At 32.4% G+C, this 25,737-nt stretch overlaps 1 long non-coding RNA gene across 1 annotated transcript in view; it reads left to right on the forward strand.

Annotated features, from left to right (window-relative positions):
* Positions 1-17,011, forward strand: part of LOC124909491 (uncharacterized) — an 84,567-nt gene extending 67,556 nt beyond the window's left edge. Inside the window, exon 2 of the long non-coding RNA XR_007096269.1 lies at positions 16,863-17,011. This is a non-coding gene — a long non-coding RNA (uncharacterized LOC124909491). The remainder of the gene's footprint in view (positions 1-16,862) is intronic.
* Positions 17,012-25,737: the final 8,726 nt, after the last annotated feature.

Below are 25,737 nucleotides of genomic sequence, written 5' to 3' on the forward strand. Positions count from 1 at the left end.
TTATATATATATATGTTAACAGAAACAAAAATTAAAGATATCTAAAAACCAGCAGCTCTAACACAAACAAATGCAAATAACAAGTAGGTCTACCACTATTTCACTGACCTCAACCCATGGCACTTTAATGCACATTGTCTATGATCTCTAATTCCAAAGCAGTGTTGTTACATTGAATATTTTAAAATATGTATAAGTAACATATATTTTTAATGTAATAGAAATTTATAAAATGTGAAACAAGGTAAATGCTATGAACAAAATATATATGTAAATATGCCAATTTAAAATTTTGTTTAAGTGAATGTGATCACAAGGAGGCTCAGATAAGCTTTATTTAACAGAAGTATATCACTGTTCAATTTTAATTAAAAAAATCAACAAGCTCAGCTAATCTGTTTGCAGCATTTCACTCTAGCTCTGTATTCACAAGTTTATTTCATTTATCAACTTCCTTTTTGTAACAGCAAACATGCATTGATTTATCTCATATGCAGCAGTTTTCTATGAGAATCTCTTACAGGTGCCATAGGTAGGTATGGACTTCCTCGTTAGTAGAACCAAACAGAGCCACTACTTTGCTATATGCTACAGATTAAGAATATGAAAAGAGGAAATAGAAACATCATGATATTTTTCACACATTATGTGAAATATTTAGAAAAAGCTATTAAAAATAGCTCTTTGCATATTTTAAGGAGAGTAGTAAGTGTGCATGTGTGTGAAAATGGATTAAACTGGCAGTTTGCTATTAGAAGTGACAGCTCAAATTCTTACTTAGATAATAAATAAAAAAAGTTTCAGTTGCCTATCGATATACAATACTGACACAATAGAGCTCACCATTGTTTAATAGCAGAGGTATTCATATTTGTTTCATGTGAGTCTCTTGGGTTTCAGATGAAGTTACTAAAGCAGTTTCCAATAGTAAACTTGTTCACACATGATGTATTCTTTCTTCCATAGGTAAAAGGTTTAAATCAATATTTCCCCACTACCAATGAAAACAATTTTATGGACAATGGGTTACATCCCCATTATCTAAATTAGTAATAAAGCCCTTCTCTAAAACAGTAAGAACTCAAAAACTTTCATTTTTAAAATGCTATATATGCAAATATAATAATTGTACTTAAAAAGTTTTAATTATAAATACGAAGTCAAAATAATTGGTCTAGGAAGGAAATAAACTACGTGGTGAAGACTTGCTGTTAACAAGCAAAATAAAATAGATTTCTAATCTGACATTTGTTTTCCCTTGCATTGACATAAATACAGGGAAATATTTATTTTGAATATACGAAGGAAAAAGCTTTTGTTTGTAATTAATAATTACAAAAATTATCTTAAATACAGTTGGAATGGTAAGGAAATATAGCAACAAGGTTTTAACTTTAATTTATTCCTCTCATTTAAAAGTTCCCCTGAAGAATAGTTGTACTCATCATTGCTACTTTACTGTTTTAAAACTTAGCAAATTAGGGTCCTAACCTATTGCTAGCTTCTCTGCTTAACTCAGAGATTTAAAAATTCATATTTTTTTCTACTTTGATTTCTGTGACCGCTAGTTTTGACATTTTTCCTATACATTTCTCACTGCACGTTCACAATGGCAAATTTCTTGGAAGTATGAGAAATAAGTAAATGCCGTTAAAAGGATTACATTGGTTTAGAACTTTACCTTTTGCAGCAATTTATTCCATCGTAATTTGTGCAAACCTGTGAAATAAGTAGTGACAGTGAGACTGAACTGTAGACAAACTTCTCAGTTTTCCTCACTGGAAATTATATTTTAAAAATTGAGTATTTTTAATCTGTTCATATAATTTGTTACTCCTCTGTAGTCATGAAAATCTCACAGGCAACATACATTTAATCTGTCTTCCTTATATTAGTTTTTTTTTTTTTTAAGAAAAATTCTGTTGGGAAAGGAAATTGTGACTAGTTCTCTAGAGGCAAACCAAAGAGGCAAGAAATAAGAAAATTGATAATTAAAGGAAAAAGTGAGATCAAATGCCTTCAGTTTCTTAATTGTAAAATTGAGCTCTGATGAAGCCAGCTGGTGACAAGTATCTTTTTGTTCACTGAGTACTTCATAGGAAGATGAATATTTTTATAAACCTAGAGGTTTTGTTGTTAAATATTGGCAAGGTTGAATTTTAGCTCACAAATTTTCATTTATGCCATCCTTTTGGTTTTGCTACTAGATCTTCTATAACATGTCCTTCTAACTCCTCATAAAAACCCATTTAGATTATAGTCATTAATGTGAGAATCCTTAATTCATTCACCTAAATCTTAAAGAAACTTTAATCATTTCCTACTAGTTATTTTTAAGGCAACTAACAGTTTCCCATTTATGTTTCTCACAATAAGCTACAAAATAGATATTTATATGTATATGTATCCCAAAGAGTTTTGAGCTATAGAAAAATTAATATGTTATGTTACTGGAAATATATATCACATGTGTGTATAATTTTGGAACTCAAAAGAGCATCCAATATGTTAGAGGAGTGTCTAATACAGCTGAGCGTGAAAATAGATGTAATATTTGTAGCTTTCTCAGTGCAGAGAGAAGGCAGAAGGAGAGAAGAAAGAAAAGGTGTTACCATTTTGAATTTTATGATTGAATTGAATTCAACAATTAAGTAAATTTGAAATAGTGCTTTTATTTATGGTGGCTCCGTTCTAGGAGTAACCTGTTCTTCATAATTTAACCTAAATTGTATTTAATCCTCTGACATCCCTTCTACCTCTCCAAGACAAAAAACTAAACTGTCATTAATTAGTCATTGTTCATTAGTTAATTCAATAATACTTATATAAGTAAAACTATTAATGTTTGATAAATGTACAAAAGAGAGAAATAGAACATTGAATGTATTTGGATTCTTATTTGATTCCAAGAGAAAAGAAGGGTAAGTTGATAAATAATTGTGATTCCTATAAGAAAATACCTAAAAGACTCCAGACCCAAAACATAATAGAACATTAAATTGAAGCTATCAAATTAATTAGTACAGCCATTATGAAAAATAGTATAGAGGTGTCTTAGAAAATTAAAAACTTAACTATAAAAATTAAATCTATGGCCATATGATCCAGCAATTCCATTATTGGGTATATATCCAAAGGAAATGAAACCAGTATGTTGAAGAGATACTTACATATTTGTTTTAACACTATTCACAATATCCAAAATATGTGATCAACATAGTGTCCATCTACAGATGAATGACTAAAGAACAATGAAATACTGTTCAGCCATAAAACAGAATGAAATCCTGTCATTTGTGGTAACATGGATGAATCTGGTGGGATATGATATCAAGTGAAATAAGCCACACATAGAAAGACAAACACTGCCTTATCTATCTCACTCATGTGGAATCTAAAAAAGTTGATTTCATATAATTAGAGAGTACAATAGCTGTTACTAGAGGCTGAGGAGGGCAAGAGAGGTGAAGGGGCAAGGAAATATTTGTCAACAGATACAAAGTTACAGTTAGACAGGAAGAATAAGTTCTAGCATTCTATTACACAGTAGGATGATTATAGCAAGTAATGTAGTGTGTATTTCATGATAACTAGAAAAGAAGATTTGGAATGTTATCACCACAAAGAAATGATGGTGGTTAAAGATGGTTATGGTAATTATCCTTATTTGATCATTATGCAATATATGTATGCATTGAAACATCACATTGTACGTCAATTATATGTCAATTATAAATTTAAAAATTGTGTGTTTACTATTATTATGTGTCAAATACAAATCTAAAAATTAATTAATAAAAATGGAAACTATAGGCCAGGCACAGTGGCTCATGCCTGTAATCCCAGCACTTTTTGGGAGGCCGAGGCCAGCGGATCACCTGAGATCGGGAGTTTGAGACCAGCCTGACTAACATGAAACCCTGTCTGTACTAAAAATACAAAAATTAGCTGGGCTTAGTGGTGGGCACCTGTAATCACGGCTACTCGGGAGGCTGAGGGAGGAGAATCGCTTGAACCCAGGAAGCAGAGGTTGCAGTGAGCTGAGATCGTGTCATTGCACTCCAGCCTGGGTGACAGAGTGAGACTCAGTCTCAAAAAAAATAAAAATTAAAAAAACCCTGGAAACTATATATTATGATCACTGTAGATATAATACCTGTGCTGATTAATTTATGGCCATTTACTCTGATTTATAATACCTAATTAAATTAATGAGAAATTACCTACTCTCCTTTTATCCAACTCTTAACATTTTCTCAAAGATGACATTTGTTTCTGACTAATGTGCTGTATTAGCTCTTTATGATTTTCTAAGCCATTTAATTTTACTTTTATCTTTTGTAATATTGTTTTACTATATTTTTCTTTGGACCAAGTAACTGAAACAGATTGTTGTTGGTAATTTCACATATAGAAATTAAAGTCAAATTATATTGTATTGAGAATTTAAAATTCTTTTCACCCACTTTCTTTTTCCAGAATAAGATTTCTAGGTCAGCATTATGTTCTTGTGATTTTTATTCATACTAAATATACCTCTAATGAAATGTTTCAGATTGATAACTTTGCACAGCAAAATACCACTATATTCAAATAAACCATTATTCACTTGTAAAATGATTTTCATTGTATGTAGTTTGTGTAGGCCTCTGATTGTAATTTAAATGAATTGATGAAAGGGAATTGTTTAATGCTGTTGTAATAGAAATTGTATTACTGGATTGGTTTAAATTTAAATTTTTCATTTATTTTTAGGAATATTGGCTTTCTAATAATGAGTCTCCCAACAAATACTTTAGTTAGTTATGCACTATTGTATTGGCAACCTAGTTTGAAAGAGAGGGAGGTATTCTGCAATTGGTTACTTCCTTAATATGATAAAACAGTTTTACTTGGATAACCCTAAGAAAAAGGGATTCATTTAAGAAAGTTGTTTTCGATTACTCAGTATCATCTTTCATTTTCAGTTATAGTATCTTCCCTAACCTCATTTCTACAGATTGTCTTATGGTTAATTTTCTTCATATAGCCAAATGTAAACCAAACAACCTTTTATTTTATTTCTCCTTCTTCTAAAATTAATTTAACTTTCTATTTTATGCAATTACATTCTTATTAATGTGTCTTTAAAAATCCAGACACATATATATTGGCTAGAGTCATGGTTTCACCTTTTTAGAAGGTTTCAATAGCTATCTTTGATTATTTGAAATTACTAATAAATAGAATAGAAGAAAATAATAAAGTCCTACCCAGATAGCAACAAAAAAGTAATCAAATTATTTTTCTAAACCATGAATATTAGACATTGATTATAAAACCCACAAACAATTTAAGAATGGAGCAATAAGATCACTTACATGTCAAGTTTAATCGCTTCATAAGTTTCCATTTATAATCTGTGCATTTATATGGTGAAATTTCAATATTCACAAAAGATTGAATCCACATACTTCAAAATCTTTGATGAGAACAGAATAAAATTGAAAACCTCTTATTGCTTTTTCCCACTCTGGGGGATAAAACTATTCCAACACTGAAAATTAAGGTTTTTATAACCTGTCATATCTTTTGCTTGATCAAAGAGCTATTATTTTATCATCTATTGTGAAACACTAATATTGTGAAAATATATTTCAAAGATATTCACTGTACTCATTTGGTCCTAAGTATCTTTTTTGGGCACATAGAGAAAAATGACTCTTCTCACTCACTTCTGGAGAAATCTCTATCTTGGTGAAAATATCAAATTAAGTGTTTCTGCTACTCTTTCAGCTAGCATAGGATTTCCATTACAATTTGTGAAATGATATTTTTTGCAAACATGTAAGAAATAATTAGTATTTAGGAAAATCTCCAATCTGAGCATTCATTGGCTGCTCTGAACCGCATTATACTTATTTATTTCCAAAAAATACTAGAATACTGCCCACAGTACAATTATGTGGTCCCAAAAATCTGACCCTAAAATATATCTAATAAAAGTCTTCATCTCATAATGATGGTATGCACTGGGGATCTATGATTCCACTGATTTCCCACAATGCAAGCAAGCAATCTTTTTTTTTTTTTTAAAGGAATGTCCCCCAAAACATATTTTTGCAATATTGGAAGTAATCAAAGAAAAGAGCAGCAGTAGCTGTAAGCCAAAACAAGGAAACATTTCAGCAGATTGAACATTCAAATAAACATTTTCAGGTAGAAATTTCTGTATTGAAGAAGCAGCTCAGTGCTATCATTGAACTGGTTAGATATTTCATCAAATAAATCTAGGTTTAATTTGCAAAATCACCACCATCATCGTTGTGGACTAAATTGCCATTTTTCTTTTTTTTTGCCATTATGTCAACTTAAATATTAAACACATAATTTTTCTTGTATTATGGAGATCAGGTAAAATTATCTATACTAGGGAAACTTTTAGTTGCCTTTAGTCATTTTTCTAAAGAGGAAGAAACAAGATTTTCAAAGAATTTTGAATATGTGACTCTCCCATTATGGGAAGGGAAAGTAAAGGGTCATATAAACATTTGTGATGACTTTCAGTAAGTCCTCTTATCTCCCAAAAAATGACCCAAGATGAACTCATTGATATCTCAAGTTATAAATTAGATGCTTACTCTTTTGGTTTTGGCTCAGTGCTTTGACTTTCATTTTCATTAAAATGCAAATCCTAAGGATGAAGCTTACTATTTTATTCACTCATTTAAGCCTTCCTGTAAACAATGGATATACAATCAATATTTGTTAATTCACACTGTCAGGTGATTTATTAAGAGAGAACATGATTGATTTTTAGAGGAAAAGAGAGAAATAATCAATTTATAGTAAGGCAAATCGTGCAGAAGGAGAAAATAAGTAAAATTGGAAAGGACACTCATAAAGACAAGTTAACTTATTTCACAACTTTGATCTTGATTCCAGAGAAAACAGAAGGACAACGTAAACTAAGTTCTGTATTATAGTACACTTTGTGATAAAAATGAGTATCAGAGATGGTTAACACTAGAATATATTTTTTATATATTGGTTACTAAATATTTCGAATGAAATATAAGAAGACACTTTTTTGTTGGACAGTTATATGAATTTATATGCATACATAGACTCTTATAACCTCTATCACTCAAAGGAGCTGAACAATTCCAACACATAAAGAATGCTTTGCATTCAGACTCTTTTCCTCCCCCATCCAGTGCAACCATTTATCTGCTCTATGACACTATGTTTTTACCTTTTTCCACTTAGTTATAAGTGGAATCATACTTATAATTGGCCTTTTTCATTTTAGCACAACACAGTTGAGATTTATCCGTGTTGTTGCCTGTGTACATAATTTTTTCCTTTTTGTTGTTGAATAGTATTTCACTGTGCAATGTTAAAGAACATAGTACACATGACATGTGTTAAAAACAGTAGGAAAGACTTTATTCCAGGGGAGCCCATTATGATATATATAGGAGAAACTGTAATGAGGTATTGTAGTAGGGAAGAAAGATAGGGTTTGCCTCTGAATATAGCAAAGACAAGTAGAGATGTATAGTCAAGGAGCCGGGATGGAGTCAGTGGATGGAAAATTACTAAGAGCAAACATTAGGGGTAAGGAGAATTTTAGCTAAACCAACTTGACAAGATTCTTGCTGAAGGTAGATGAGAGTGATTAGATATCAAGGATGAGGGATTGGGAATTTGAGCAGACATCAAGGATGGTCAGTTACCAACAGTGGGGCATTTTTGCTAAACTGACCAAGCAAGATTCTTGCTGAAACTGGATTAAAGAAATAGAGCCACCGGAAGCAGGATTGGAGCCTTGCCAGAAAGAGGATTCTGAGGAGCCTGACAAATGTTCTCGTCAATGGAAAGGGTCTTTGTCAGTAGATGTACCAAAGTCTATCCATTCACCCACTGAAGGACATCTAGACCTACAATTTTTAGCAATGATGGATAATACTACTAAGAACACTTATTTAAAGGATTTTGTGTGCATGTAATTTTCATTTGTCTAGGATAAATAACTAGAAGTAGGATTGCTAGGTCAATTAATTTGTAAGTCAATCAATGTTATCAATTGATTATCAGTGTCTATATGAATAACCAAAAGATGAATAAAACATTGTAATATTAATTCATGTATAGAAAGCACTTGACAAAATTTATTATTTATTTATTACACACAATCCCAGTGAATTAGAAGTCTCTCATTACATCAGAATCTACTAAGTGTAGCCTTTCTTTTATAAGAAGACATGGGTAGCTCTCTGGAGATGATGTATTTCCACTCATATTTTTATTTTTGTCCCATGTATCCTGATGTGCATCCAGTAGTTCAGATTCAAATTTGTTGTAATACAGGTTATAATACAAGTTAAATAAATAAAGGAGTAATAACAGAATATTAGCTCTTGTTCAGTTATTCCCAGGCTTTGCTGGCTTGGGATATATCTTTAAAAAAAGGCAAAACAGGAAGAAATTGAATTTGATGTTTTGAGCTATATAATGAAATAGACTTTTGATCTATCTCTTTTCAAAAGAATATATATTTTGCTTGTTTAGAAAGTCAGAGCTAAGACGATGCTCTATTTACTTAGCTGTATGACTCCAGGCTCTTACTCCATGAAACCCTAAAATTCAGCACCCAGCCACATAGTACTGAAAATGTAAAATTCTATTTTTGGTAGTTTAAACAGAAAAAAAAATCACAATAGCATGCTATTTAGAATTAGGGTATTCATTTCAACCATTCACTTAACAAATATTATTGATCATCTCATATGTGGCAAGAATATCATAAAGACTAGCATATTGTTTTTTGAATGTAAGCCATTTGATATTACTTTCCCCAATTAGTTGTTTAGAGCCTTCAACACCATTGTTATGCTGGTTATTACAGGATAAGCCAATTAAATATGTGTTAGTTCTGTAAATATTTTTAAAAATACAGTTGAATTTGCTAACCAATGGGTATATATTAGAGATACTTGGTACTATGCCGTTTTTCTTCTTCATTAATATGCACTCAATTTCACTCCTATCATCCATTGTTCTGCTCTATATTAAAGGAATCTGGAATCCTGAACACTTAAAAATTGAATTTTCTAGACCCTCCTGCCAAATGACTTTCCTGTCAACTGAATTTTAGTTAGTGTTAGCAGTGGGAGAATTTATTCACTTATGTATTTATATGTTTATTACTTTTATTTTAAAATAATTATATTTCACAGTAATTTGCAAAAAATAGCACAGAGAAGCCCAGTGTAGTCTTTACTCATTTTTTTCCAATTATCTCACTTTACATAATTCTGGTACAATATCAAAACCAGAGATTTGACGTTTATAAAATGTGTATATAGCTCCATTTCATGTTATCACATATGTAGATTTATGCAACAATCACAGGATGAAAATAAAATACAATTTCATCACCACCAAGATCACCCTCATTTTATCTGTGTATAGTCACTCCTCATTCACTCCTTCCTCCACCGTCCCCAACTCCCTCAACAATGAATATATTTGTCATATCTATCATTTTGTCATTTCAAGAATGGTATCTTAATGGAATTGTACATAATGTGACTTTTTAGAATTTGTTTACTTCACTCAGAATGAAGCCTTTAAAATCACTGATAGGATTTTGAGAGGAGAGAATGACTTCAGTGCCTTTGGTGTTCCAGAAGCACTCTCAAGGGGTGATTGCCAGAAGCTGCTGGCTACAGTGGCTTTCAGTAGCTCTGAAGGCTGGAAAAGAGAGCAGTTGCAGGCCTCAGAAGCCTTTGGAGGTTCTGATGCTGGCAGTTTCCAGCAGGGTCAGTGTCACATGTACCTTGAATTCTGGAAACACCGTCTTCCTTCCTCTGTTTTTTCTAGCCATCTTGGATGGGATAAACATCTTGAAATTATATCTTAGTTGAATATCTCCCTTTTTCTCCTTCTACTTTTCTAATACCTTTGTAACAAGCATTTAATATTTTTTGTATTAATTTCTTAGCATGACTTATCTTTCCCTGGGGGCCCTGATAGTGCATCATCAAACAGTACTGATGTTAAGGAGCTAACCATATACAGTACTGTAAAAGCATACTGATGGCAGCCATAGTGTTGCTAATATTAATAAAATAGTTGTCTTTATTGGGAATATATTTTATGCTAGGCATTTTGTATAATAGCTACCTTTCATATAGCTTACACACATAAGAGGCAATAAAAAAGTGAAGAAGAGCAATGTTATGCCAGCTTTGAACATAGCCTTTGGTAACTGTAGAAAAGCATTTTCCATGTGAATTTGATGAATAAAAAATTAAAGTCAATGCTGTAAGTCAAGTCTTTTGAAGCTAATCTGTCTCACATGACAACTCACTTAGAAGTCCAATGGCCATCCAACTGTCAATATGGTTAAGTTTTTGATGTTTAGTGATGGAAGCAAAACATGCTGCCAATCAAATGGCCTGGTGCTATAGTGCTCACATTGTAAAATGCTGCCTTGTCAGGAATTTCAGATGCCAAGTCCAATTCAATATTCTTTAACTTGTGAAAAATACTTTTGGCACTATACTTTATGTGCGCTGAAAAGTCATTCTCAATATGAATAGTTTGGTGTTGCCATTTGAGGGCTTGTGCAGCTGGCAACATTTGTTTCCTACACAGCTTAGAATGACAATGATGCCAGTGGCCTAGTTTAATAATGGATTACCTTCTTGAAAGAAACTTTATGTTTCGCTTTGAATTGCTACATTTTTTACAAAGCCTTCTCTAAAAGAAAGAAAATTGCATAAGAAGTCCCCTGATTTAATAAAAAACAAAGTTTTATTCCTCTGGAAAAAAAATTGTGTATTTCTGAATAACCTTTAGTTACCTAAATCTTATTAATCTGTTACTGTGATTATTACTTACTAATTTCTTCATGAATTTTAAGTGATAACTCTAGCCTAGACCTTTCTAACAGTAATTGTACTTCATAATAATTGTATCATATATTTTATATTTATATTTTACATCATTTTTGTTTTTGACATTGGTTAAGTAATGTTGAATATGTATATTTTATATTCTAACCATGTGTATAAATTTCTTAAAGACAAATATTATAAATATATTGGTACTTGCATATACAAACTCTTGCACTAATAAAATCTTACACTAACTTGTATCTTTCTGTGTTTAAATATTCAAAATTAGAAATTTAATAATGAATTGAGAAAGCATTCCTGCTTGGACTAGAGAATTATGCATCATCAAAATATTCAAGCTCCTTTGATCGTGGATTCCATCTGGTTTAGGTGTTCTCTTTAGCTAGTTTCATCACTAGCTAAACTGGATGATATTTATTCAACAAACACTGAGTCTGTACTAATCCCCAGGAGGAAACAAAGCACTCAAAGTGACAAAGAAGGTCCCTACCCTCATAAAACTTTGATTCAAAAGATTATATATATATGAAAATATTAAATGAACAGATAATTGTTGTCTTATTTTAAATCTTAAAAATATATTTACCTTTATATATTTTATATAAAAAATAAAATTTATCATGAAAATGTCAAAGTCACAGAAGTATAATGATTTGAGGAAGAGTGATTTTAAATCAGTTAATAAGTATATCCTCTTTAGAAGACATAATATTTAAGCTGAGAACTGAATTAATTTTTAAATAACCAGCACATTACCAGCACAAAGTCCTGGAGGAAGGAATATGCTTGAATGACTTGGAAAAGGCAAGTGGGCATTGTTTGTGAGTGTGTGTGTGTGTGTGTGTGTGTGTGTGTCTGTTTTGTTTTTGAGTTAGAGTTAGTAGTTTGGATTTTATACCAAGAGCAATATGAATAATTTTTTTTTGGTTTTGTATAAGGAAGTCATCTTTTCTTATTTAAATTTATAATAAAGGATCTGTGTGGTGTTGTGAAAAAAGAATTGGAAGTGGCAAAATAAAGATTTCTTTAGTCCTGTAAAGAAGTAATGGTCGTTTAGAATGGTACCAATGAATATAAAGGAAACAGGCTCCTAAAAATATTTGCTGATGATAAGAGATAGAAAGGCGGGGGTGTTAATAAATACTTTAGGCAAACCTAATGGGAAAGCTCCTTAACAACGTTCAGAAAATTTCCATTTATGTCAAGCTTTACTAATTATAACTCAAATCTTGCTTAATGAAATCATCTCAACATTTACATGAAACAGTTATTCTCACCCTACTCTGTAGATGAATTCACTGAACTTCAAGAATATTAAGCCAATGTCTAAAGATCACAGAAATTTCTTTAAGGCAGAGTTTGTAATATAAGATAAAGTTTTAAAACCTGTGTTGACCATGTGGTAGACATACTACCAAACACAATTTGGATCAAGTGTTTTGGCAACTGGAGATTACCGAGATGGAAGATATTTTTAACATTTAAGTTGCTTCTAACTATGTGTAACTAAAATAAAATATTTTTGCTTTATGATACCAAGTAGCAAATTCCCATTTAAAAAAAAAACTTTCATAAAATCATTTTATATGTTTTTTTTTTATGTAGAAGCTTTAATTTTATTTATTTATTTATTTTTTGAGACGGAGTCTCGCTCTGTTGCCCAGGCTGGAGTGCAGTGGCCTGATCTCGGCTCACTGCAAGCTCCGCCTCCTGGGTTCATGCCATTTTCCTGCCTCAGCCTCCTGAGAAGCTGGGACTACAGGCGCCCGCCACCACGCCCAGCTGATTTTGTTTTTGTATTTTTAGTAGAGACGGGGTTTCACCTTGTTAGCCAGGATGGTCTTGATCTCCTGACCTCCTGATCTGCCCACCTCGCTCTCCCAAAGTGCTGGGATTACAGGCGTGAGTCACCGCGCCCGGCCTAAATTTTTTTAAATGACCAGAAAAACTCATTCTTCATCACCACATAATTTAATGCTATGAAAATTTGAGGTTTAACAAAATGTTCAGCAAGGGATTAATTAGCAAGTTAACCTTGGATAGTATTGATAATATTATTATATATGTTAGTTATTAATTATCAAGTACTTATTAAGCACTAGTTACTTTCCACAGTTCTTGCATTTAATTTTTAAAATTATACTATGAGATAGAAAATATATTGATTTTCTAATGAGGATATTAAGGCAAAAGCTCAAGAAACTTGGTTAAGATCACAAAGTTATACTTTGATTAACAGAGATGTGATTCCCAACTATATTTACTTCTTATTCATCATAAATACATTTTAAGCACAAACTAATATTTCAGCATTAATCTATATCCCATGGAAAGAGTTATAGTGGTTAGATTCATATTTGCTTTGAGTTGTTGAAAAATACATTTTTCTTATATATGCTTAATTCATTTTATTCATGCAAATATACTCACACCCTATTTAATAATACTTGTGGTATCATGTCTAATAGTGCCTCTTTTTTGTGGAATATAGAAAACCTAAAACTTTTTAGATGTATAGTCATAAAACAACAAAACTTAGTATCCAGAGCTATAAATGTTAAATTACTCATAGAAACTATATTTTGAAAAATGCACAAATTCTAAGTGTACAACCCAACAAATTTTTCCCAAGTTAATACACTCCTGTGACTGCCACCCAAGTCAAAAAATGAAATACTGCTATCAAACTGGAAGCCTCTGCCTCTCTGCCTCCCTTTCAACATCTGCATCTTCACTTAAAAATTTTATGGTTAGTTTTGCTTATTCTGGGTCTCTACATAAATATAACCATTTAGCATTCACTATTTTGTTATGGCTTATTTCACCCAACATTATGTTTGTGAGACCATTCAAGTAGTGCATATTCGTTTAGTTCATTCTCATATACAGTTTTTTAAATACGTGGCAATTCAAGCTCATATTCTACTTTAATTAACCATTTAGGTTGTGTCCAATTTGGGCCTGCTACAGATAATTTTCTATATGGCAACCCAACTGACAAAACAACATTTATAAAATAGTTTATTCTCTACTGCTCTGCTGCATCATCTTTGCATGAATGAAATGTTCACGTGAGGCATTTCAGGCTCACCATTCCATCTGATGGTTCTATTTTTTTTTTCATTCCATCTGATGGTTCTATTATTTTTTTAACCTTGTATGAATACTACACTGTCATAATAACTTTTCTTTTATATTAAGTGTTGATATTCAGTAGAATAACTTTATACCTTTTTTCCCTTTCCTTTCAAAGATATACTATTCTTGGCCTTTGGGTTTCTAATAATTTAGATGTTTGCCAATTTTAATAAAAGTTATGCACACATTTGCTCGGGTGTTCCTTGATTCTATAGACCAATATTAAAGAACTGTTATCTCTCCAATGCTAAGTCTTTCAATCTATAGATGTGGCATATTTCCCTATGGGTTTAATTCTTTAAAATAAATGTCCTCAATATTTTATATTTTCAGAAGTCTTTCACATCTTATCCTTATTTATATATTTCTAGGCATTTGATCTTTTAATGCTGCTCCAAATGGATGTGTGTGTGTGTGTGTGTGTGTGTGTGTGTATGTGTGAATGTGTGTATTCTTGTTTGGTTAGAACCTAGAAATGCAATCAAGATTTTATTGATCTTATATCTTGAAATATTGTAAAACTCATTTTTTAGACCTAATGATTTTATAGGACGTTTGGATCAGCTATATATAGAATCATCTGAACTATTAATTATGGCATTTTAATCTTTATTAATACCTTTGTTGTGTTTTTCTTATTATTCCACTGGCTAGCACCGCCAATACAATATCAAGTAAAAATGATGACAATAGGCTTTCATGTTCATTCCTAATCTTAGAGGAAATGATTTCATAATTTCATCATGCAGAGTAATGTTTGCTGTAATATTATGCTATCTATAGAATAGCATTTGCCTAGCATTTCTTGAATAAGGCAATTTTTGTGTGTTGTGCATTTTATTTGTCAGTATATTTAATTTACATTTTGTTTGGATTTTGTAACTATGCTTGTGATAATAAAATAATTTTTAAATGATGTCTTCAGATTTTTTTTATCAAGGAAATACTGTCCTTAGAAAGACTGTATTGTGAGGAATACTGAATGTCTTCTCTGAAATAGTTCATGTGGGTTGGCCATTGTTTATTTCTTCTATTTGAAATTGTTACCTACTCTAATACCTTAACCTTAATTTATCTTTGTGGCTTCATTTTCAGGTCAAGATTCTGTTACATTAATATGTAACAGTTCAAATCAGAATGTCCCTTTTTTCTTCTGACATTTTTATTGTTATGTCTTTATTCTTATACGAGTTTTTACTTTTTAATTTTAAAATTTGTTGGCATTAGTTTTTTTGCAAGATTCCTTTTTGATTTTTTAAAATATCTCTAAAATCCATAGTCATATCCCTTATTCCTTATTGATATTGTCTATTTCATCTCCAGTCTTTGTCTTAGTCTCTCTCTCCCTCTCTCTTCATTCCTAGAAACTCATCAATTTTTCCCTGTCTATTAAAAAAAATAACTTTTCTTAAGCATTTCTTTTTATAAATTTGTTGCATTTTTCCTTTTGTTTATTCTCAATTCTTTTGTTGAGTTAAATTTGATCTCTTTTTTCTACTATTTTGAGATGGATTCCTACATAATCTATTTCATGGCTTTCTTGTTTTTAATACATTCATTTCAATCTAACATAACTTTAGTTGCACCCCATAATTTGAATATATTATATATTTTTGTACTATTTAGTAGAAAATATTTTCTAATTACCATTATGACTTTTTCCTTGAGCTACGGACTATTTAGAAGAAAGCATTTACATTCTTAAACATATGGTAGTTCTTAAGTTATATTTAGTTATGCCTTTCTATCTTCCATTGTTCTGTAATTAGAATAATTATGAAAGATTTAAATCTTTGAACTATGTCAACATTTGCTTACTGGAATAACATATGGTAATGTTTTATTAATGTTTCATGAGCACATAAAAAAGGTGTGTTTTCTGCAATTGTTGAAGTAGGCTACTATAGATAAAAATTGTATTGATTTTTATTCAATGTGTTCAAATATTTATATTCCCACACATTTTTGGTATAATTGCCATACCAGCTACTGAAAAAGGTATGTTAAGTCTCCCACTATAATTGTAGGTTTTTATATTTATCTATTTTTTGTCAAACTTTATCTGTCGTGATAGTATGATATTATACGAATACAGATTTAAAACTGTTTTTACTTTCTTGATTAAACAGTTTATCATAATGAAATTTCCCTCTATCTTTACTCTTTTATTTAAATTCAACTGTATCTGATATACCACTCTATCAATTTCCTTTGGTTAATGTCTTAGTTTGTTCAGGAAGCTATAATTAAATATCTTAAGACCGGGTAGTTTATAAAAAAAACAGAAATTTATTTCTTACAGTTGGAGGGTGAAAAGTCCAAGATTAAAGTGCCAGCAGCTTTGGTGTCTGGTGAAGGCTTGCCCTCTGCTTCACAGATAGCATCTTTTGCTGTACTCTTATGTGATAGAAGAGGGGATGGAACAAGTTTAAGTCTCTTTTATAAGGTCACTAATCAGCTTCATGAGAGTGGAGCTCTTATGACTTCAATTCCCAAAGACACCACCTCTTAACAATATCACATTGGGAATTAGGTCCCTGTATATGAATTTTGGAAGCACACCAACATTCAGACTATAGCAGGTAGTATTTGCAAGGTATTGGATTTTCTGTTTTTACTTTTAAATGTTATTATTTTATATTATATATTTATCTTAATAAAATAAAATTGATTCTCTTAAGTCTGATAATTAGTTTCTGTTAATTGAACCATAAATTTATATTTTATTTAATGTAATTTCTGATATTTTCAGGTTTATATAAACCATTTTAATATATTTTATTTATTCTCTTTCTTGTATATTTATCTTAAGTTTAGGACTTGACCAATTGGATCTAACAGACATCTACAGAAAATTCCACCCAGCAATTACAGAATATACATTGTTCTCAACTGCATGTGGAGCATATTCTAAGATAAAATAGTCATAAATCAAGCCTCAATAAATTCGAAAAAATGAAATCATATCATACCAAGCACAATCTTGAACCACAGTGCAATAAGAAAAGAAATCAATGCCAGGCCAGGCATGGTGGCTCATGCCTGTAATCCCAGTGCTTTGGGAGGCTGAGATGGGTGGATCACTAGGTCAAGAGATCAAGACCATCCTGGCCAACATGGTGAAATCCCATCTCTACTAAAAATACAAAAACTAGCTGGGCATGGTGGCACATGCCTATAATCCCAGCTATTCAGGAAACTGAGGCCAGAGAATCACTTGAACCTGGGAGGCGGGGGTTGTGGTGAGCCGAGATCGTGCCACTGCACTCCAGCCTGGTGACAGGGCAAGACTCCATCTCAAAAATAAATAAATAAAATCAATACCAAGCTATCTAAAAACTACACAAATACATGGAAGTTAGACAACTGACTCCTGAGTAACTCCTGGATGAACATCAAAATTAAGGCAGGAGTTTAAAAATACTTTGAAATTAATGAAGGAGAGAGGAAATTTACTAAAATTTCTTGGATACAGCCAAAGCAGTGTTAAGAGGAAAGTTTGTAGACCAGCCTAAATGACTTCATTAAGAATTTATAAAGGTCTTAAATTAACAGTGTAACTTTACACCTAAAGGAAGTAGAAAAAAGAGCAAACCAACCTCAAAGCTAGTAGAAGAAATAAAATTAGAGAAGAACTTAGTGATATCGCTATGCGCTATGCAAAAATCTGTACAAAAGATCAATAAAACCAAGAGTTTGTTCTTTGACAAAAGTAAATAAGGTTGAATAGGCCCATAGCTAGATTAGCAAAGAAAAAGAAAGATCCAAATATCTAAATAAGCACAATCAGAATCAACAAAGGTAATATTACAATTGATCCAACAGAAATACAAAAGAATCTCCGTGACTGCTGTGAACAATGTTATGCACATAATCTAGGATATTTAGAAGAAAAGGATAAATTTGTGGAAGCACAAAATCTCCCAAAATTGAATCAGGAAGAGAATGAAATCCTGAATAGACTAATATCAACTTCTAAAATTGACTCAGTGATAAAGAACCCATAAACCAACCAAAAAAAGCCCTGGACCAGATGGATTCACAGTGCTGCATTCTACTAGACTTACAAGGAAGAACTGATACCAATTATATTAAACATTTCAAAAAAACAAGTTGAGGAAGAAGGGCCTCTTCCTAATTCATCCTATGAAGTTAGCATCAGTCTGATACCAAAATCTGGCAAAGACACAATGAAAAAAGACAATTTCAGACCAATAATTCTCATGAACCTAGACACAAAAATCTGCAGCAAAATACAGGCAAAATAAATCCAGTAGCACATCAAGAAGTTAATACAACACAATCAAGTAAGCAAGTTGGCTGTATTCCTGGGATGCAAGGCTGTTTCAACATATGCAAATCAATAAATGTGATTCACTACATAAACAGGATCAAAAGCAAAAATCATACTATCATCCCAATAAATGCAGAAAACATTTCTGATACAATTTAACATATCTTTTAGATAAAAACCCTCCAAAGAGTAGGCATCGAAGGAGTATACCTAAAAATAATAAGAGCATTCTATGACAGCCAATGTCATACTGAACTGGCAAAAGCTCAAACCAGTTCTCTTGAAAACTGGAACAAGACAAGGATGTCCACTCAATTCACTTCTATTCAATATAGTACTGGAAGTCCTTGATAGAGCAATCAGGCAAGAGAAAAAATTAAAAGGCATCGAAATAGGAAAAGAAGAAGTCAAACTATCTCTTGTCGCTGCTAGGAAATACTAAAGACTCTGTGAAAGGGCTCCTAGAATAGATAAATTACTTTAGTAAAGTTTCAGAATACAAAATAAATGTACAAAAATCAGTAGCATTTCTATACACCAACAATATTCACACTGAAAGTGCAATCAGTATCACAATTTAACTTACAATAGTCTCAAAGAAAATGAAATATCTAAGAATACAGATAACAAAGGAAGAAGAAAAAGATCTCTACAAAGAAAACTACAAAATGCTGCTGAAAGAAATCAGATATGATACAAATAAATGCAAAATCATTCTATGCTAATGGATAGGAAAAATCAATATTATAAAATGGCCATAATGCCCAAGGCAATTTACAGATTCAACGCTATTCCCATCAAACTAGTGATGTCATTCTTCACAGAATTAGAAAAAGTTATTCTAAAATTCATATGGAATAAAAAATGAGGCTGGATAGCCAAAGCAATCCTAAGCAAAAAGAACAAAGCTGGAGGCATCACACTACTCAACATCAAACTATACTATAAGGCCACAGTTACTAAATCAGCATGGTACCAGAAGAGAAAGATAGACCAATGGAACAGAATAGAAAACTCAGTCATAAAGCCACACACCTACAACAATCTGATCTTTGATGAGGCCAACAAAGACAAGCAATGGTGGAAGGACTCCGTATTCAATAAACAGTGCTGGAATAACTGACTAGCCATATGCAGAAGACTGAAGCTTGACCCCTACCTTTCATCATATAAAAAATTAAATGAATTAAAGATTTAAATGTTAGACCTCAAAGTATACAAATCCTGGAAGACAACCTAGAAAATACTCTTCAACATTGGCCTTGGTAAAGAATCTTTGCCTAAGTCCCCAAAAGCAATTGCAAAAAAATAAATAAGTAAATAAATAAATACATAAATAAATAAGAAATAAATAGAGACTTAAACCAAACAGCTTCTGCACATCAAAAGAAACTGTCAACAGAACAAACGACCTACAGATATTTGAAAACTATGTATCTGAAAAAGGCCTAAAATCTAGAATCTGTAGGAAACTTTAACAAATCCACATGTGAAAAACAACCCCATTAAAAAATGGACAGAGGACATGAAGACACTTCTTAAAATGGGATATATAAGTGTCCAACAAACATAAGAAAAAATGCTCAGCTTCACTAATCATAAGAGAAATGCAATTCAAAACCACAATAAGGTACCATCTCAAACCGTCAGCATATCTATTATTAAAAAGACAAAAAATAACAGATGTTGGAGAGGCTGCAGATAAAAGGAAATGCTTATACATTTTTGATGGGCATGTAAATTAGTTCAGTCACTGTGGAAAGCAGTTTGGAGATTTATCAGAGTACTTAAAACAGAATTATCACTCAACCCAGCAATCCCATTACTGAATATATATCTAAAAGAGAATAAATAACTACCCAAAAGACACATGCATTTGCATGTTCACTGTAGCACAAACATGGAATCAACCCAGCTGCCCATCAATGGTAGATTGGATAAGGAAAATGTGGTACATATACACCATGGAATACTATGCAGCCATAAAAAGGCATAAAATCATGTCCTTTGCAAGAACATGGATGGAGCTGGAGGCCATGATCTTAAGCAAATTAACACAGGAACAGTAAATCAAATACCACATGATGTCACTTATAAGTGGGAGCTAAACACTGAGCACATATTGACATAAATATGGGGACAATAGACACTGTGGACTACTAGAGTAGTGGGAGGTGGGGAAGTGGGTTAGAAAAACTACCTATCAGGTACTGTGCTCATTACCTGGATGACAGGATCCATACTCCAAACCTCAGCAACACACAATATTCCCATGTAACAAATCTGCACATGTACTCCAAGTATCAAAAATAAATCTTGAAATAAAAATATATATTTTTCATTTCCATACTAGTCCTTTTATAGTTACCTCTTCTTTTAGCAGTATTTTTGTAGTTACCACAATAGATTGTATACTGTTGTCTTATCAAAGTCTAATAAAAATATTTATATCTTAATCTGAAAATTGCAAGACCTTAGATCATTACCTTTCTCTTTCTCTGAACTTATACTATCTTGCTCTCGTGTGCTTTAAGTTCTATCAGATGTCACTCTTATTGTTTTAAGCAGTTAATCCATTTAGATTTACCAAAATATTTATCTTTTATGTATTATTCATTTTTTCCTAAATGTATTGTCTGATTTTTTTCACGTATAGATCTCTCATATAAATATGTATGTTTATCAGATACAGATATATATGTGTATATGTATGTCTTATTTTACGTTTATTTTTTGAAACAATTTGCTAAAATTCTAAGCTGCAAGTTTCTTCCCTGTTAACCTTTTGAATATCATATTCAATCATGTTCATGTCTATCATTTTCCTTTGAAAAGTTGTATGTTAATATCGTCATTGAATGCATGGGGCAAATCAAACGGGGTGTTAAAACTAAATCTTCCATTTAGATATAATTACTTATACCAACTCAATTTTAAGATAAGTGTAAAGTTTTTCATTCACCTGTGACAAGTAAAAACATACACATAAACAAACACACACACGCAGACTTTTATAATACAGCAGCTCTGTGAAATGCAGATTTAAAATTAAATAGAAATAAAAATAATTTTACATACATTGCACTTTAAAATATTCTTAAGTGATTCTGTTTCTTGTTAAGATCTAGAGTGATGGTAAGGCCTGTGTTCTCATGGTAGCAAAAAGAAATAAAAATGAATGAAATAAGTATTATCCTTTTAAATCAGAAGAGTAGTGGCTTCAAGGTAGCCCAAGGTTCTGAATTCCAGAGAGGAACACATCTTCATAGGTGAACACAGAGTAGCAGCTACTTTCATAGCTGAGGAAAATAACTATTTTTCTTATAGGTAGTTCAGATAGGTAGTGGAGTATGCAGAAATTGTAGTAAAAATTTGAAATAGCCAGAGAGATTAGAGTACAAAAAGCTTCAAAAATAAAATAAAATTATTCAGTCTAAATTTCCCCCTTCCCTGAATTTGGCTGAAAAAGTAGCAGTGGCTGGAAATCAGAGAGAATTTATGAAGTCTTGATGATTTTCAGAGAGATTCATCCATAGACCCTGATACAATGTTCTATGAGAGCTCTCCAATAACATTCCAGTTCAAATATTTACAAGATTAAAAAGATCAGTCCCAGCAACTATAATGTGAGAGAACGGGATTTGTGCTATCAATGGGTAAAAGTAATCTAATGAAGGCAGCTCCTAAATGGTAAAATCTGAAGGTTTAGCTCTGCATTGTAGCTGCCACATAGAAGAGAAGGCTTAGGAGTTCCGGAATGCCTATTTTTAGAAGTCATATATTAGTTTCCTTTATACTTTCATTTTATACCCATTTCCAGGAAAAAAAGTAGAAAGTGAGAAGTATGGAAAAATGGGAAATTTGATACATAATTAGGAGAAAAAATATTCCACAGAAGCAGACCCACAGATGACCCAGATAGTGGCATTAACTTTTAGACAATGATTATAAAATATTAATTATATTTTAATTCATATTAAATATATGTTATAGCCTCAAGGAGGAAAGCAAACTGGGTGTTTTCACAACTGGGCAATGTGGTACATTTAATGCTTTTTCCCTCAGCAGTAAACTTTTTCCTCCTTACCCCATTTTCAATTATATTGCTACAGAAAAGAACAGAGTGAAGACCATTTTGGTAGGGAATAGAACATGAGATAGAAAGTTCCTTTAAAACCAGAAGAAGCAAAATTGCTTCTTTCATCACTTTTCAAGTACTGAAGGAGGACAGAAGTTGTAGTAGCGCGAGAGAGTCAGATGGGACTATGGTCCTAATCTCCAGGATTTGAAAATGTTGTACTCCAAATGTATGTGTTTGTTTGGAGGAAATACAACTGGGTTAGTGCCCTTCATCACTGGCAGATTTACCACTACTTAGCTCCATGTAGCATGAAGTGGGCACTATTGTGCAGAAAGAGTAAGGTAAGGTAATTTTACTAATTCCCCTTATTTGCAAGTGGTTAAAGTTGATCAAGAAATTCCTAAAGCTGTGAGAAGGAAGCATGGAATTCTAAGGTTAAAGGGGCCATAATGTGAAGGTCCTTTGAATCCAGAAGCAAATTTCTACGCTTCCAGGCTTCAGTAATCAATGTCATCATCTCAAAGGTTTGCTAAAACTAATCATAACTTGGCAAACATGAATTAAGGAATCAAAACTGATCAGCCATTTTGCATCAGAGAAGAGCAAGAAATTATGAAGTTCCTAACTGATTACAGTTCATCTTTCCCTGGCTTCTGTGGAGTTACATAAATCATTCTAGGTAACTAGTGCCCATGCAGAGAAGACTATGGTAGAAATATGGAAAATCTGAGACTGTTAACTTGAAGAGACCAAGATACCATTAATGGACAATTTTTTAGTTGTTTGTTTGTTTGCTTGTTTTTAAACCACCAATCCATACTTGGGAGTTATGAACAAGACCAATCCAGTTATTGGAAAACCAACAAACCAAACAAGTACACAGCAAAAATGTACCACATTATCCTTGCCTATTTGTGAAGTAGAAAATTGGTGTCAGTAACTTTATAATGTATTATTCAAACAACTGCAGCAGAATCTTATAAAATAATTTTATTTTTTAACACATGTAGGACTGCCTTTCAAGAAGTAGATAGTCTAAAAAGGACAGCTCTAAAATGGCAGTAAGTTGTTTTTGATGTTTAGCAAGTAAGACAAAAATGCAAAAAGAAAAACTATGCCTTTAATAAAATCTCTAGCTTTGTCCCAGTCTCCTAGTGTAAAATTGAGAATTGGATAAGTAGACTTCCAGTGAGTTTGTTTCCATCACATCATCAGGAGAAAGACATTCAGTGAAAAACCAAAGCAGACTCTCAGTAATGCAGGGCTCAGGGCAAGGACACATTTTACCCAGGCGTATGGATAGTACTATCTCTTCAGCAGTACAATGCTTCTATGATAATATTAATGGGCACTGGAGGGTAGAAAAATGAAGATGCTTAAAAAGAAGAATCAGTAGCATCTCAGCTAGGAATGTGAGACATATTAGACTTTTATAACACAGAGTAAAGCCAAAGGCAGAAGAATATTAATTCTGTGAGTTTGCAGCTGGGATGATTCAAGTTTATAAATGCTTCTTATTAGGCCACTGGCAATCCAAAGTTATAAAATTATGTGGCTTTAACATCAAATAGTACACTACTACTAATAACATATTTTCATAATTTCTCACCAACTTATGAGTCATCACATTTTTCATATTTCTAAGGTGAATTTATTAACATGTGAATGCTTCTCTCTCAAAAGAAAGTGAAACCTATGATAAGATACTCTTCTAACAGAAAATATGATAAACTGAATTTTATTTAATCAGTCTTGAAAAAACTGAGCCTTATCTCATCCTGCCTTGTTTTCTGCATATATTAAAAATATAATTCATTTTTTAACCTCTCAGATTACTGAGGTATAAAGAGATTCAATCATTTACTCTAGTTAACAAAGCAAACCAATGATGTGATTTTTAATCCAAAGTGAGCTTTTCTAATTTTCATAGTTATTTTACCACCAATAAAAATAATCACATTCCAGCCTGCAAGCTCTGGAGAGTCCAGCTGGTCTGAATGAGGAGATGTCCCCCATAATACAGCACAGCTGCTGTACCAAAAAGCAGCCAGGCTACTTCTTTAAGTGGGTCCCTGATCCTGTTCCTCATGACTAGCTGAGTCTTCCCAGCAGGGGTCTCCATACACTTCGTACAGGAGTGTTTGGGCCAGCAACAGGTCAGTACCCTCCTGAAATGGAGCTCCTAGAGGATGGAGCAGGGTGCCATCTTTTCTGTTCCACAGACTTCACTGGTGATACCTCCAGGTATGGGAAAAAACAAGGCAACCATGGTCTGGAAAAAACAAGTCAACCAGCAAACCACAGGAGACCTACGGAAGACTGGCCTGATTGTTAAAAGAGAAAAAAACAAACAGAAAATAACAATAATATTAACAAACAAACAAAAAACACAAAAACTCATTTAAAGGTCAGCAATCTCGAAGATCAAAGGCAGATAAGCCTACCAAGTTGAGAAAGAATCAATGCAAAAATGCTGAAAACTAAAAAAGCCAGAGTGCCTCTTCTCTTCCAAATGACTGTAACACATCTCCAGCAAGGTCGAAGGACTAGACTGAGGCAAAGATGGCAGAACTGGCAGAAGTAGGCTTCAGAAGGTGGGTAATAAGGAACTTCACTGAGCTAAAGGAGCATGTTGTAATCCAAAGCAAAGAAGCTAAGCATCATGATAAAACAATACAGGAGATGATAACCAGAATAGGCAGAATAGAGAGGAGAATAACCAACTTGATGGAATTGAAAAACACAAAATAAGAACATCAAAGGTGATCACGAGTATCAATAGCAGAATAGGCCAAGTGGAGGAATCTCAGAGCCTGAAGACTATCTTTCTGAAATAAAACAGGCAGACAATAATAGGGAATAAAGAATGAAAAGAAATAAACAAAACCTCAGAGAAATTTGGGATTATGTTTAAAAAAAAAATGAAACTGTGACTGATTGGGGCACCTGAAAAGGACAGGAAGACCAGAACCAAGTTGAAAAACATGCTTAAGGATATCATCCAGGAGACCTTCCTCAACCTATCAAGACAGACCGACATAAATTCAGGAAATCCAGAGAATCCCAGTAAGATATTCTGCAAGAAGATGAACCCTAAGACACATAATCATCAGATTCTCCAAGGTGGAAATAAAAGAAAAAATGGTAGGATCAGCCAGAGGGAAAGGCCAGGTAACCTACAAAGGGAAGCCTATTAGACTAACAGTGGACATCTTAGAAGAAACCCTACAAGCCAGAAGAGATTGGCAGCCAATATTCAGCATTCTTAAGAAAAGAATTTCTAACCAAGAAATTCATATCTGGTCAAACTAAGCTTC

The sequence above is a fragment of the Homo sapiens genome, chromosome 3 (assembly GCF_000001405.40).
Source record: "Homo sapiens chromosome 3, GRCh38.p14 Primary Assembly".
Lineage (NCBI taxonomy): Eukaryota > Metazoa > Chordata > Mammalia > Primates > Hominidae > Homo > Homo sapiens.